The following is a 16,543-nucleotide window of genomic DNA, read 5'->3' as shown; positions in this document are numbered from 1 at the left end:
TTATAACAAGCAAGTTTCAAATTTGAGCTCACAAAACTTGCCCACAATAAACATGTTAAAACATATTGCAAACAGTGATAATTTGAAGAGTCATGAATACTGCTGCATAAAACATGTAACCAGTGTTCTTATTTTTCATAAAAAGCATCTGTGTATCAATTAAGGATGAGATCAACCTCAGAGTCAGACAAGATTTGAGCCATTTGAAACCTTGTGAGCTTTCCCAGTCTCTGATAACCAGCCTATAATTAAATATTGACCTTTAAGTCTTCTAGAGTCCAGGTAGCCTAAATAAAATCAGTCTCAAACATGAGAAGTCCCAGTATTTATATGATAAAAAATGTTTTATATCAATCTCTATATGTCATTTTGCAATGTGTTCATAATATACTCTATTAGATGACACATCTGGGCAAATAACCTACACTCACCAAATTTATAGACTTTTTGAATTCATTGATGTGATCCTGAGCATGAAAAGAATCAAGAACAAAAATTTCCATACACTGGTTATACCTGAGAAGCATCTGAGCTGAACTTTAAATTATAGGCTACAACTTGAAAATACTGAAATAAAATAATTTTTGCAATAACTTCCTTTAAAGCCATTGAAACATAGACATTCAAAATATGTTTATATAATTCCCATAATTTTCTTCCCAAATTTAACTACTCTGTTCATCTTGTCACTTTTTTATTTAGATATGCATCAATCAATAAAATAAAGATAGCAGAAAGTAGGGACTGATCTCATTTGTCTCCACATTCTTTGTACTTGGTGATGATCTGGGCACAAAGAACAAATTTGATACATATTGACTGAACTAATGAATAAATAAAAACACTCACATTTACTAGATAGAAATAGACTGTCATATCTGATAAAGAAGAGAGAAGTAAAAAATATGAGAAAACTGTGAGACTATGGTGAGTCATAAATCAAAATAAGAATTTTAGTAGATAGAGTAAAATATTATTGAATTCTAGATTGTGTCAATAAAATGACTGAAAATTTTTTTGAAAACTGACTTGAAGACTTTTTTTACTGATTCTGGCATGTTTGCAATTTCAATGAAATGGTAGCAACAGAAAATGAATTACAAAATAGAAAGTAAGGAAAGAAGATGAAATGCATAGACACCTCCCATAAAAGTAAGTTGTGAATGGAAAATAAAAGGAATAACATGAAACTTGAATGGCTCTAAGATCCATGAAACTTAAAGATAAGCCATCAAAAGCAATAGCAGCCTGAAGACATAGCATCAAGATGTGGCATCAAGATCAAGATCCAGTATGTTGTAGTATTGTTTTACGTAAAATGCTTGACGTTATTCTAAGTGCAATGTATTAACTCAATAAATTCTTAAACATTATAAAAAATCACATTAGCTTTAGACAAATTTTACCAATAAGAGAACAGTGACAAGTAGATCATATAATTTTACAATGCTATGTTCATCGGTAGTTATTGGGGAACAATTTACCATAAACTGATGGATTCCAGAGTCAATACTATTTGAAAATAAATTATCTATCTCTGATTTCAAATGGGAAAGAGTTATGATGGAAGGGAAGTTATGGATACAGAAAAAAGGAAGGAGAGGTACTAGATAAGGTGAGGATCTCCAGAAGACTGGCCTTAATAGAAGTGAAACTCAGCATAGAAATTCATTTAATGGAAGAGGAAGAGTAGAAAAGGATGATTATACTTGTAGGTAAGATTGCAGCATTTAGGTTAGAAGTAAGCAGTTTGAGTCCATCTAAAGATAAGGAAGATTCTTATGTGTTTCATGTTTTCTTCAAGTTCTATGCAGGTACTAGTGTTTTAAATTCAAGCTAGGTACTACCTATGCTCTTACTTATATTAAGAAATGTATTATTCATCTTATCTGTCATTACATTCCACCTGAAAGCACTACTAAAAAATTCACAACTTTCTTGTGTACTCTGCTTCTCTTCTTTACTCTGCAGTCACCTCCTCTCTTGTTTTACTATGAGTGTGTCAAAGTTTTGTGAATCATTCCAAATTTCACTTTCTCCAAAAAGGACTGTACTCCTCTTTTTCCATATACAGCTATTCTTGCTTGGTGGTGGAAAATAGTAAATGTGTAGGAGCCCTACAAAACAGTAACATTATTTTAGATTTCCTCCTCCAGATATAAGAACCAAATATTCATGAAAGAAAAAAGAAATACTTTTCACATAATCTTTTCTCTCATCTTATCCTCAAAATATGAATATAATATCATACCCCCTTCAGTGAAAATCTTGAGGTTCCTTGTTAAAACTTAACGCTAAGTTTTAAAAGCTCTAGCACCTTAACTTTTATCTTTCTAACTACATTCTATTCTATGTGTTTTTCTGGTTGTAACTGTTGTTCCTACCAGTTAGTGGTTGGAAAAGTAAATGAAATATTTACACAGACTGTGGAATGATAAGCGCCAATACAAAGAAACTAGAAAGTGGAAGTCTTTATACCTTGCTTTGGAGGTAAGCATTTGTCTGATAAATGTCTACATGTTACTTAAATGGCAGAGATGTGACTCCTGATTCTTTCTCCCATCTCTGGCTAATTATTGAAATCTGTATGTCTTTGCATCTGTGTAAATAAGGCAATAAAGTAATTTAAAAATGTCCTATATCTAACTTCTTCAATGACATCTAATTTATCTACATTTTTACATATCACTGTAGTTTCTTCATTTTTGTACTATAATATCCTATTACATAAATATACAATTAAACCAAATTTATTCATATACCACATAGAAAAAATTCAAAAAAGATTCCAATATCACAGTTTCTTTACCATAACCAAGTAGAGATAATACAAAGACCCACCTAATTTTTTACTTCATACTATATATGGACTTCTCTCCTACATGAGTGTAAGGAAAACTCCCTCATTATTATTGAATCAATGAGAAGGCTTTACCATACAAATGTACCAGGGACAACTTATAGACATATGAGTTATTTTGGTACTATCCATGATAATGTTTGTATTAGGGTTCTCCAGAGGGACAGAACTAATAGGATATATATCTGGGAACCCGCCCCAATAGTCACGTAGGTTCTTTTCTATTTTTCCTAAGCATTGGCTGGTTTGAGAAATAAAGGGACAGAGTACGAAAGAGAGAAATTTAAAGCTGGGCGTCCGGGGGAGACATCACATGTCAGTAGGTTCTGTGATGCCCCACAAACTGCAAAACCAGCAAGTTTTTATTAGGGACTTTTAAAAGGGGAGGGAGTGTACGAATAGGGTGTGGGTCACAAAGATCACGTACTTCACAAGGTAATAGAATATCACAAGGCAAATGGAGGCAGGGCAAGATCACAGGACCACAGGACCGGGGCTAAATTAAAATTGCTAGTGAAGTTTCGGGCACCATTGTCATTGATAACATCTTATCAGGAGACAGGGTTTTGAGAGCAACTGGTCTGACCAAAATTTATTAGGTGGGAATTTCCTCTTCCTAATAAGCCTGGGAGTGCTATGGGAGACTGGGGCTTATTTCATCCCTACAGTTTCCACCAAAGAAGATGGCCACACCGAAGGGGGTTATTTATAGACACACCCTCAGGGGTGCATTCTCTTTCTCAGGGATGTTCCTTGCTAAGAAAAAGAATTCAGTGATAGGCTCTGTTCCACCCAGCTCACCGGTGGTCAGAGTTTAATGTTATCTCTCTTTTTCCCTAAACATTGCTGTTATCCTGTTCTTTTTTCAAGGTGCCCAGATTTCATATTGTTCAAACACACATGCTCTACAATTTGTGCAGTTAATGCAATTATTACAGGGTCCTGAGGCAACATACATCCTCCTCAGCTGACAGGATTAAGAGATTAAAGTAAAGACAGGCGTAGGAAATCACAAGGGTATTGATTGGGGAAGTGATGTGTCCATGAAATCTTCACAATTTATGTTTAGAGATTGCAGTAAAGACAGGCATAAGAAATTATAAAAGTATTAATTTTGGGAACTAATAAATGTCCATGAAATCGTCACAATCCACAATCCACGTTCATCTGCCATGGCTTCAGCTGGTCCCTCTGTTTGGGGTCCCTGACTTCCCACAACAGATATATGTTTATATAACGGTGTTTATTAAAAATAATTGGTTCACACAATCACAAGGTGAAGTCCCATGATAGGGCATCTGCAAGCTGGGTAAGAAAGAAGCTAGTAGTGGCTCAGTCTGAGACCAAAAGCCTTAAACACAGGGAAGCCTGAGAGTGCAGCTTTCAAACCAGTAGTGTTAAGTTTAAGAGTCCAAAGGCCAAAAAACCTGAAGTCTCATGTCCAAAGGCAGGAGGAATAGGTGGAAGCATCTAGCATGAGAGAAAGATAACAGCCAGAAGACCAGCAAGCCAGCTGATTCCACTTTCTTCCTTCTGCTATGGTCTAGCCATGCTGGGAGCTAATGTGATGGTGCTCGCCCACATTGAGGGTGAGTCTTCCTCTCCTAGTCTACTGACTCAAATTTCAATCTCCTCTGGCAATACCCTCACAGACAAACCCAGAAACAGTTCTTTGCCAGCTATCTATGCATGCTTCGATCTAATCAAGTTGGCACCTAATATTTGCTATCACAAGTCCATCCCTTGTCAACATGGCACTAATACACATCTCCTGAAATCATTAATCACCAATACAGAAAATAATAAAATTATATTTACATCTAATATAATATAGCTATTCTTTCTACAACTGGAAGTACATTAATCCTTAACCAAAATGCTATTATGTTAAGTTAAAAACACTTAAATGTTAATATGAAGTAAATAAATCTTATGTTACATGATAAAGAAAAAAGAAAGGAAATAAAATGAAGATATTTTCTTAGTACAAGTGTATACATGCACAAAAGTATTCTTAATAAAATAAGGAGAAAATACTTATGTCAATTACAGTTGTTGTTTCTGCTACTGTTTATGCGGTTGTAGCTAGTGTTAGTAACTACCTTCTACTACCCATTCTGTATTCCCTTTGCCTTCAGCAAGCAAATCAGCTGGTGGTCATTTTTCAGTTGGTGGGCTAACCCAAAACTTTATTTTTGAAGGGTCTGAACCATTTGTAGTCCTGCCTGAATTTAGTTGTTGTGGTTTCCCACTGATCTTAATCAAAGGGCATGGTAATAGTAAGAGATGCCCTAAGGAATCTCCTGTATTCCAGAAATACCGTTCCTTACATCCATTATGGAGTTGTAGTCTAACTTCATTTTAATAATCCAGGTCAATCACTCCAGCCAACATGATAACTTCCTTCTTAGCCTGCTGACTTAAAGAAAGGAGGAGCCCAAAGTGGCCAGGTCGCAATCTTAACTTCTAGTTTAATAAAGTAATTGTTGTGTCTACTTGTGGCAGCATTCCTCCCTCCCTGACAGGAGTGACAGAAGTGGATGGAGAAGGTGGCTGAGTGGTGTCCAAGGAATGGGTCATCCTAACCACTTGATTATTAAAGGCCTCTAGGCCAGTAGAACAAAATGTTTTGAGAACAGGAAGCAAAATTTATTTTTGAGGTAATGGTGAGTGGTGCTACTTCCACTTCCACTGCTTGATTCCTGGACCCATGAACCTTGGCTATGGGAGAAACAGTAGAATATATTGGACAGCGATTCAGAGTATACAGAGGCTTCTGGAAAATTTTGTCCCAGCCCTGCAAAGTATTGTCACCTTGTTGGTGATGTAATTGTGACTTCAAAAGGTCATTCCACCATTCAACAAGCCAGCTGTCTCAGGATGATGCCATGCCTCAGAGAACATTGCAAGACCAGTGAATTCCACGAATATGAGCCCACTGCTGCACTTCTTTATCTGTGAAGTGAGTGCCTTGGTCAGAGGCAATGCTGTGTGGAATATGATGACAGTGGACAAGGTATGCTGCCAGTCCACAAATGAAAGTCTTGGCAAAAGCATTGAGTGCAGGACTGGCAAATTCATATCTGCAGAAAGTGTCTATTTTAGTGAGGACAAACAACTGCCCTTTCCATGAGAAAAAAAGAAAAAGTCCAGTGTAATCAACCTGTCAGCAAGTAGCTAGCTGATTACCCTGAGTAATGGTGCCATATCAAGTGCTCGGTGTTTTTCTCTGCTGCTGGCAGATGGGACATTCAGTCGTAGCTGTAGTAAAGTCAGCCTTGGTGAGTGGAAGTCCCTGTTGCTGAATGCATAACCTCCATTCCTGCCACAATGGCTACTGTGTTCATGAGCTCACTGGGCAATGACAGGAGTGGATGGAGAAGGAGGCTGAGTGGTGTCCACAGAATAGGTCATCCTAACCACTTGATTATTAAAACTCTATGGAGGTCACCTTTTCATGAGTATTCACATGAAACAGAAATACAGTCACAGTGTTTGACCACTCAGAGAGGTCAATCTACATAGTTCTTTTCCAGATTTATTTGTCAAAAAGGTTTCAGTCATGCTTCCTCTAAGTCCCTGACCATCCAGCCAAATCATTGGCTATATAGCCCATGAATCAGTATATAATCACGAATTTGGCCATTTCTCCTTCCAAGCAAAGTGCACAACCAGGTGCATTGCTCAGTGTTATTTATGGGTGTGCTAGAAAGGGGCTGTAGTGGTGCAGCTGTCCACTTTTGGGTGGTGTCTGCTGGATTAATCAGGATTCCCTAGAGGTACAGGACTAATAGGATATATGCATATATGAAAAAGAGTTTATTAGGGAGTATTGACTCACATAATCACAAGGTGAAGTCCCACAACAGGCTGTCTGCGAGCTGAGGAGCAAGGAAGCCAGTCTGCATAACCAAACCTCAAAAGTGGGGAAGCGGACAGTGCAGCTTTCAGTCTGTGGCCAAAGGCCCGAGAGCACCTGGCAAACCACTAGTGTAGGTTCAAGAGTCCAAAAGCTGAACAACTTGGAGTCTGATGTTTATGGGCAGGAAGCACCCAGCATGGGAGAAAGATGGAGGCCAGAAGACTCAGGCCAGTCTAGTCTTTCCACGTTCCTCTACCTGCTTTTTTCCTAGCTGTGCTAGCTAGGATGGTACCCACCCAGATTGAGGGTGAATCTACCTCTCCCAATCCAATCACTCAAATGTTAATCTCCTTTGACAACACCCTCACAGACACACCCAGGAACAATATTTTGCCCCCTTCAATCCAATCAAGTTGACACTCAGTATTAATCATCACACCTCCATACCGAATGCAGAACCACCTGTAAACCAGGTCTCTTCCTCTGTCAACTGCTCATAGGGAACTCCCCACGAGGCCATGGGTGTGGGCTGGGAGAAGGAAAGCAGAGTGACAGGGGTGGGGCCTATGGGAACTTGAGCTACTTTCTTATGTAACTTACTTGTGCCGTCAGAAGCAGCTCGAGCCCAGTCAAATATATACCACTTCCATTTGATGATAGAGCACTGCTGTGCATGTCCAACTTTATGGCTAGATAGGTGAGAAAGCACTCAGGTCATAATAGGTAGTTCAGATGGCATGATAACTTGGTGACTCACATTCAAACATTCAGTTTCTAACAAGACCCAGTAACAGGCCATGAGCTGTCTCTCAAAAGGAGAGTAGTTATCTGCAGAAGATGGCAGGACCTTACTCCAAAATCCTAGAAGCTTCCATGTGATTCCCCTATGGGGGCCTGCTAGAGGCTCCAAACATCATCACCATCTGCCACTGACACATCAATCATGATTGGATATGCTGGGTCATATGGCCTAAGTGGCATATCAACTTGGACAGCAGCCTGGACCTGTTACAGAGCCCTTGCCTGTTCTTGACACCATTCAAAACTGGCAGCCTTTCAGGTCGCACAATAAATAGGCTGGAGTAACACACCCAAATGAGGAATGTGCTTCTTCAAAAATCCAAGTAGTCCCACTAGGTGTTGTGCCTCTATCTTGGTTGAAGGAGGGGCCAAATGTAACAACTTATTCTAACCTTAGAAAAAATATCTTGACAGGCCTTATGTAACTAGACCCTAAGAAACTTCACTGAGGTAGAAGCTCCCTGAGATTTAGTCAGCTTCATTTCCTATAATCTGACATGCAAATGTCTCACCAATAAGTCCAGTGTGGCTGCCACTTCTCACTCACTGGGTCAGTCTAATCAGTATAATGTCGTCAATATAATGGACTAGTGTGATACCTTGTGAAAGAGAAAAGCAATCAAGATCTCTGGGAACAAGATTATGACAAAAAGTCAGAGTTGATATACCCCTGAGGCAGGACTGTGAAGGTATATTGCTGGCCTTGCCAGCTGAAGGCAAATTGCTTCTGGTGCACCATATGCACAGGAATGAAGAAAAAGGCATTTGCCAAATCAATGGATGAATACCAGGTACCAGGAGATGTGTTAATTTGCTCAAGCAATGAAACCACATTTGTTACAGCAGCTGCAATTGGAGCCACCACTTGGTGAAGTTCACAATCATTTACTGTAATTCTTCAAGATCTGTCTGTTTTCTGCATAGGCCAAGTAAGAGAGTTGAAGGGCGGCTGTGGCGGGAATCACCACCCCTGCATCTTGCAAATCCTTGACAGTGGCACTAATCTTTGCAATCCCTCCAGGGATGCAGTATTGTTTTTGATTTACTATTTTTCTAGGTAGAGGCAGTTCTGACAGCTTCCATTTGGTCTTTCCCACCATAAGAGCCCTCACCTTACTGATCAAGGAGCCAATGTGGGGATTCTACCAGCTGCTAAGTATGTCCATTCCAATTATGCATTCTGACACTAGGGGAATGACCACTGGATGAGTCCAGGGACATATTAGGGCCCCTGTAATTTGGACCTGAGCTAAAACTCCATTAATTACCCGACCTCCATAAGCCCCTACTCTAACTGGAGGGCCGCTGTGACATTTTGTGTTCCCTGGAACCAATGTCAGCTCAGAGCCATTGTCCAGTAGGCCCTGAAAATTCTGATCATTCTCCGTTCCCCAATGCACAGTTACCCTGATGAAAGACTGGAGGTCTCCTTAAAGACGGATGGGAGAAAAATTAACAGTATAAGTTTTTGGTCATATAGTGGGGTCCTTCCTCAAGGAAACCTGGCCCTCACATTATTCAAGGAGTTCTGGGTCTATAAACCGCCTCAAGTCTGGAAATCGATTGAAGAGCCATGACTCTCTATTTTTGTAATTCAAATTAGTATTTTGTCCACTTTATCTGGAAATTTGCTGCATTTACAAATTAAGTAAGAATGTAGTAGGCTTCCTATTTATTTCACTTCTAAAAACATAAAAAATAATTTGCCAATGCCAGAGGTCTACACGAGTCAGACTATTCTGATTGCTGCTTTGCCTGTGCTATTATTGTAACTATGCCCACCTCACTTTTGACAATTGAGTGCTACCACTTGGCCCCTGCCACCTTGGGATTCAATTATTCCCATTGCATTTAAGTTTTCCAATTGAGTGACTGTGGTTCCCACTGTAAGATCTGGCATACAGAGAAGAGCAATTGCAGAGGTCTTCAAGGATGAGTGTGCTCCTTTCACAAATCTTTTTTGCAAGGTGTTGATGAAGCATATGTCTTCTGGGCCCTCTCAGTTGGGATGAGTAGGTCTAAAGTCATAAATCCACACTAGCATTTCAATTTCCCTAAGCCTTTGGATCCCTTCCTCTATATTAAACCAGGGGAGATCAGACATTTCCAGCTTGCTCACAGTGGGGGATTTTTTAAGCCATGTTTCAACTAACCAAGCAAATAAACTATTAGAACATTTTTAACTTCCTGAAATGCAACATTAAATAGAGAATCTTGTTTAGTGGATCCATATCAATACATTTATCCTGATCCAACTTTATATTCCTTCTACCATTATCCCACATCCTTTAGATCTATTTCCATGCCTGTTTTCCATATTTCTGCTTATATAAAATAGAAAACTCAAGTAGTTCTTTTGGAATGTAGTACACTTCCTCATGGGTCACACTCTGAACCTCACCTCTAGGGCTCTGCTGGGACGTGAGTCTAGTTACAGATCTAGAAGTGAAGAGGAGTGGTGGGTATGGGTTTTGAGTAGAATCAGCATTGTCTTGCCTGACAACTCCCTTGGGGGAGGCCATAATTATTGCCTCAGCAAGTGTAAATTTAATATCCTCAGAGTTGGAAAGGCTGAATGAATCCTGGGTCGGGGAGGAAATGTTGATGGTGCGGAAGTCAATTTCTCTGGCAAAAATGGCTTATCAGAATTTAGGAGCTCAGTGTCCCCAGCTTCATCAGGACCCTCTCAAACATCCCTATTCCAAGTTACATGGTTCCACTCTTTCCCAATCAATGCCCTCACTTTAAGTTGACACCAGAAGAGGCTAAGCATGCACCTCTCCTTGTAGGTCAGCCAATCTCATGATGAGGGTTTGTGATCTCATTTTCCACAATTTCAACCCTTTGCCTACTGAAGGTAAGATTCTCACCAGGGACAATCTTAGGAGACTTGCAGCTAAGTATGCACTTCTGGAGCCAGAAGATAGAATCACTGAGCTCGTCCTTTCCTTTTATTAGTTTTTCCAGTGAACACAGGAGTGATCAACTAATTTGATTATATTCCTTTGTTCTCCACAAATGGTCAAAGGCATCATGAACTGGGCAACTAAACTCTTTGCCTCTCAAGAGTGGTGAATCAGGATTATCAAATGCATTTATTTTCCATAACTCTCTAAAGAGTTTTTGTTAAGGACTATCAGTGTTCTACATATTATTTGAAGTAGAGTTCTTAGCATTTTGGAGTCTAATCAGATTAAACAGCCAACTCCAGAAACCTCAAAACCAACCCTAAAAATCCATCCTTAAAATTCTGTTCCTCTAGAAACACTCCTGGAACCAGCATTTGTATTACTCAGGGTTTTCCTGAGAGAAAGAACTAATAGGATATATACATATATATACACACAATCACAAGGTGAAGTTTCACAATAGGCCATCTGTGACCTGGGGAAGAAAGAAGACAGTAATAGCTCAGTCTGAGACCAAAAGCCTAAAGACAGGAAAGCTGACAGTGCAGCCTTCAGTCTGTGGCTGAAGGACTGAGAGCCCCTGGCAAACCACTGGTGTAAGTCCAAGAGTCCAAAATCCAAAAAACCTGGAGTCTCATATCCAAGGACAGGAGGAATAGAAGGAAGCATCTGGCGTGACGGAAAGGTGAAAGCCAGAAGACTCAGCATGCCAGTTTATATTGCCTTCTGCTTGCTTTGTTCTAGCTGTGCTGGCAGCTGATTGGATTATGCCCACCCACATTAAGGGTGGGTCTTCTCCTCCCTGTCCAATGACTCAAATGTCAATCTCCTCTGGTAACACCATCACAGACACACCCAGAAACACTACTTTACCAGCTATCTAGGCATTTTTCAATCCAATCAAGTCGACACCTAAAATTAACCATCAGAATGGTTCAGTGAATATTCTTGATGTACATATTGTAACTAAATCTTAGAATATGTTACTGACAATGGAATTTCTGGTTTAAAAATCTAATATTTTTAACATTTATTCATAATGTTTTATTGTGAGAGTCCACATTGATTTTTAACTAATTAAAGCATATTGAAGGGGTGATCCAAAAAGATAAACACCGTTAAATTTCTCAGACTATAAAAATATAGTCATATCCATTTTCCACAACATAGCATATTGTCACAGGTCTTTCTTAAGTTTATTTAAGATTTATTAAGATTTATTAAGTTTATTCATTATTTATTGAGGTATGTTCCCTTACCTAAGTTTTACTTCCCTTAAAACTTTCATCACCTTTGCGTTCATTCTTAATTACTGTAAGCCACCACTACTTTGGAATTAGTAATTATATTCTATAGTCTTTGTACATTCATTCACTGGAGAGTCAAATATTGTATTTTGTCTACCTTTCTGTTCTGCAACTTCATGTTTTGCTTTTTATTTATATAATTTTTATTATGTTGTTACTTACATAATACTATATCATACTGTATCATAATCTTAACTTTACCTTAAGGAGTGCATGTATACCTATTGAAAAGATTCTCTGTTTTCCAGAAATATTTTTCTTAGAATTATCCACGTACAATCTCTAATGTGAAGACTTTACTATCCAGGCATTATGTGCCTATCTTAGTCATCAGTATCTCTTTGTCATTGTGCTCAGTTGAGTGTACAATTTTTAGGTCTAGTGTTTTCCTCTTTATGGTCATTTCTCCTGTGTCTTCTAGTAGCTTTCAGGGAAACAGTACATTCTCAAATTTGTTACATACTGGCAACTTACTCCCAAGAAAAATTTTTTAAAAATTATATTCTGCCACCAGATCATATAAGTATCTGCTTGGCCTCTCTGGATAGGGTCAAGTTTCTAGCATAAGCAAAATTCATCTTTATTTGGCATATATATTGCAAATATAATCTTCCCACAGGACATTTGTCTTTTGCTATTATGAATAAACTTTTTAATCCAATTTGTGTGTTTCATAAAAGTGATACAGCCATACAGTAATCCTAGCATGCCTGAGCTTTGTATACAGCTTGAAAATAATATTTCCTTTCAAAGAGTTTTTAATTCAGTTTCTTCTAAGAAATTTCCTTTATTACTATTTTTTTGCATTTTTTTCTTTTCCTCTGGAGTGCCATTCATTGTCTCAATTGCTACAAGAAACTCTATTACAATCTTGCCTATTTATGAAAGAAAAAATTATCCAACTGCTAATTATAAATCTTCCTCTCAAATAGGTTCTGCTAAATAAATTACCCTGAGACTCTGACACATTTGTTGTATCCAACAAAAACAACAACAAAGAAAAAAAAATTACCAGAAACTATAAAATCTCTGATCCTTTCACCCTCTCTCAAAAATTCCATCAATGACTATATCTCCCAATTTGCTTATGGTTCTCTTCTTAGCAAGGAGAAGCTATTAAAGTTGGTTTGGGTTTTAAATAGCATTCCTTTGACTTTCTAAGCACTTAGAGACATGTCACAGCTGAAGCATAGCTTTATCTGAAAGAATTAAATGTGTTTGGCTTTCTGTACTAAATATTCTTTAAACACTCTTCACTATGGACTATCTCTATTGGAGCCTTTTTTTTTTTTTTTTTTTTTTTTTTTTTTTTTTTTTTTTTGAAACGCAGTCTGGCTCTGTGGCTCTGTTGTCCAGGCTGGAGTGCAGTGGCGCAATCTCAGCTCACTCTAAGCTCCGCCTCCCGGGTTCACGCCATTCTCCTGCCTCAGACTCCGGAGTAGCTGGGACTACAGGCGCCGGCCACCAAGCCTGGCTAATTTTTTGTATTTTTAGTAGAGATGGGGTTTCACCGTGTTAGCCAGGATGGTCTGGATCTCCTGACCTCTTGATCCACCCGCCTTGGCCTCCCAAAGTGCTGGGATTAACGGTGTGAGCCACCTCGCCCAGCCTGGAGCCCTTTCTTTAATATAAACATAAATGTTAGTCAACTTGTTTAAATATAAACATGTGAGCTGCTTGAGCACAGGGACTACATCATAATGTTTTTTGCTCTCTTACATGTCTCATCAACGAATGGATTAGGTAAGTGCTATAAATTGTGCATTGAATGTGTAATGTGAAAAAATGGCAGGTGCATAGATACCTGAGTAGATAATCTATTGTCTAACCCATATCTTGAAACTATATCACGTTGCCCAAAAAATGAGTCTCCAAAAATTTATAATTATTTATATGGAAAATACTTATTAAAAAATTAAGCTCTGAAGGAACACAAATTTCAAATGGTTCATATTTTTTTTCCAAACATGCCATTCATGTTTGGTATCATACTTTACCTAATATCATTATCTGTGTTTTGATCATTCATGTAGAAACCACATCAGTGCCTTTGCTTTTGTGCATTTCTTCTAGTCTCAGATGCAGTCAGTATTCACAAATTTAATCTCTGTTCTTCACATTTACTATTATCAAGACAAGCCCCAGCCCTTATGGTCTCATACTTAGTCTACTAATATACATTTTAATCATTTTTCCTACATGTGAGCTCTTGACTTTACTTGTCAATCTGTGTTTGGCAACAAGAGTTGATTGCTTAAAACAAAACATACAAACAAACAAACACTTGACATTTTGACTGGCTTTCTTAAATACTTGGTTATTTTTCCTGTAAATTAAAATAAAACCCCATATGTACTGTACAAAGCTATGTAAGGTCTCCAATTTCAACCAATTTTTAAAAATAATCTCTGGCACACAATTTAATCTAAAATTCATACTTACTGGAATGCTTTCTAAATACCATGACCTTTTCTCATTCTACTCACTGTGAATTCTTTCCGTTAGCCACACTCTGCCTAGATCCTGCCAAAGCTTTTGTCTTACCCTGTATGTTATCTGTCACACCAGCTTTTTCTGATTGCTCCATAGAGGGATAATTATGTTCTCTGGTTTTCTGATGACCCTGCACCAGAAACATGATGCATTATAATATGCTTCATAGGATAAGCATACCTTATTTTATTGCACTTTGTTTTATCATGCTTTGCAGATATTTGGGTTTTTTTTTCTCATAAGTTGAGGGTTTGTGGCAATCTTATAATCAAACAAATCTATTAACATGATTTTTCCAACAGCAAATCATCAATTTATATCTTTGTGACACATTTTGCTAATTTTCATAAAGCTTTAATCTTTTTCATCATTGCTATATTCCTTATGTTGAGCTGTGATCAGTGATTTTTCATATTACTATTGTAATTGTTTGTGGGTGTCACAAATTATGCCCATATAAGATATCAAACTTATTACATATTATTTGTCTACTGAGTGCCCCATGAACCACTTTTTCCCATCTCTCTCCCTCTCCTCTGGCCTATTCCTGAGAAACGACAACGTTAAAATTAAACCAGTTAATAATCTTACAAAGCTCTCTAAGTGTTCAAGTGAAAGAGAGAGTACCACGTGTTTCACTTTAAATCAAAAGTCGGAAATTATTAAGATAAGTGAGGAAGGCATGTTGAAAGCTGAGATAGGCTGAAATCTAGGCCTCTTGCAGCAGTTAACCTAGTTGTGAATACAGAAACAAAAAGTTATTGAAAGAAATTACAAGTATTACTCCAGTGAATGTACAAATGGCAAGAAGTTAATCTGCATTATCGCTGACGTGAAGAAAATTTAATCTAGATAGATCAAAGCAGCCACAAACATTCCTTAAACCAAAGCCTAATCCAGAGAAAGACTCTAGCTCTTTTGAATATGTGAAGCCTGAAATATGTTGAGGAAGCTGCAGAAAAAAAGTTGGAAGCTAGCAGACATTGGCTCATGAAACTTAGTAAAAGAAGCTATCACCATAACAAAAAAGTGCAAAGTAAAGCAGCAGGTGCTGATGTAGAAATTGCAGAAAATTATCCAAACAATCTAGCCAAGATAATTGGTGAAGATTAACACACCAAACCACAGATTTTCAACGTAGACAAAATTGCCCTTTATTGAAAAAATATGTCACTTGAGTCTTTAATAGTGAAAGATAAGAAGTCAATGCCTGGCTTTAAAGCTTTAAAGCACAGGCTGACTCTTTTGTTAGTGTGTAATTCAACTGGTGACTTTAAGTTGAAGACAATGTTTATTTATCAGGAAATCTAACAGCCCTTGAGAATTATGATAAATCTGCTTTGTGTCTGCTGTATAAATAGAATGACAAAGCCTAGATGACAGCACTCCGTTTATAGCATGATTTACTGAATATTTTAAGCCCAGTATTGAGATCTATTGCTCAGAAAATAAAGACTCCTTTCAAAATTTTACCTCTCAATGACAAGGCGCATGCTAATGCAAGAGCTGTGATCAAAATGTACAAGGAGATTAATGTTATTTTCATGCCTGATAACATTACATCTATTTTGCAACCCATGGATCAAGGTATAATTTTGACTTTCAAGTTTTATCATTTAAGAAATACATTTTTTAAGGATATTGCTATCTTAAATTGTAATTCCTGTGATTGATATGGGCTGAGTAAATTGAAAACGTTCTGTAAAGTATTTACCATTTTAGAAGATATTTGAAGTAGTCATAACTTATGAGACCAGGTTAAAATAACATTAAAAGGAGTTTTGAAGAAGTTGATTTATTTATTACAATTCCTATGAATGACTTTGAAGAGTTCAAAACTTCAGTTAAAGAAACAACTGCAGGTGTGGTGAAAATAGCAAAAGTACTAGAACTAGGATTAGAGCCTGAAGATGTAACTGAATTGTTGCAATCTCATGATGAAACTTGAATTGATGAGAATTTGCTTCTGCATTGGAGAAGAAAGTGGTTTCCTGAGATAAAATTTGCTCCTGGTGAAAATGGTCTGAACATTGTTGAGATGACAACAAAGTATTTGGAATGTTACATAAACATGCTTGATCAATCAGCAGCAGAGTTTGAGAGAATGAACTTCAACTCTGAAAGAAGTTCTACTATGGGTAAAATGCTGTCAGACACTATTGCATGCTAAAGAGAACTCTTTCATAAAAGGAAGTGTCAATCAATGTGACAAATGTTATTGCATTAGTTTAAGAAAATGCCACAGCCATCTCAATCTTTAGAAACCACTCTTCTGATTAGTCAGCAGCCATTAATACGGAGGCAAAAATCT

The 16,543-nt window shown here is 37.7% G+C and overlaps 1 protein-coding gene across 1 annotated transcript in view; it reads left to right on the top strand.

The window, feature by feature from the left end:
- Positions 1-13,154: 13,154 nt before the first annotated feature.
- The window catches only part of UGT2B4 (UDP glucuronosyltransferase family 2 member B4), a 45,850-nt gene continuing 42,461 nt past the window's right edge, over positions 13,155-16,543 (top strand). The window contains exon 1 of the mRNA NM_001297616.2: positions 13,155-13,482. Within this exon, the coding sequence (NP_001284545.1) occupies positions 13,440-13,482 (43 nt within the window). The 5' untranslated portion in view covers positions 13,155-13,439. The remainder of the gene's footprint in view (positions 13,483-16,543) is intronic.

The sequence above is a fragment of the Homo sapiens genome, chromosome 4, assembly GCF_000001405.40.
Source record: "Homo sapiens chromosome 4, GRCh38.p14 Primary Assembly".
Classification (NCBI taxonomy): domain Eukaryota; kingdom Metazoa; phylum Chordata; class Mammalia; order Primates; family Hominidae; genus Homo; species Homo sapiens.
The sequence above is the reverse complement of the archived record's forward strand: the minus strand, read 5'-3'. Positions and strand labels throughout refer to the sequence as shown.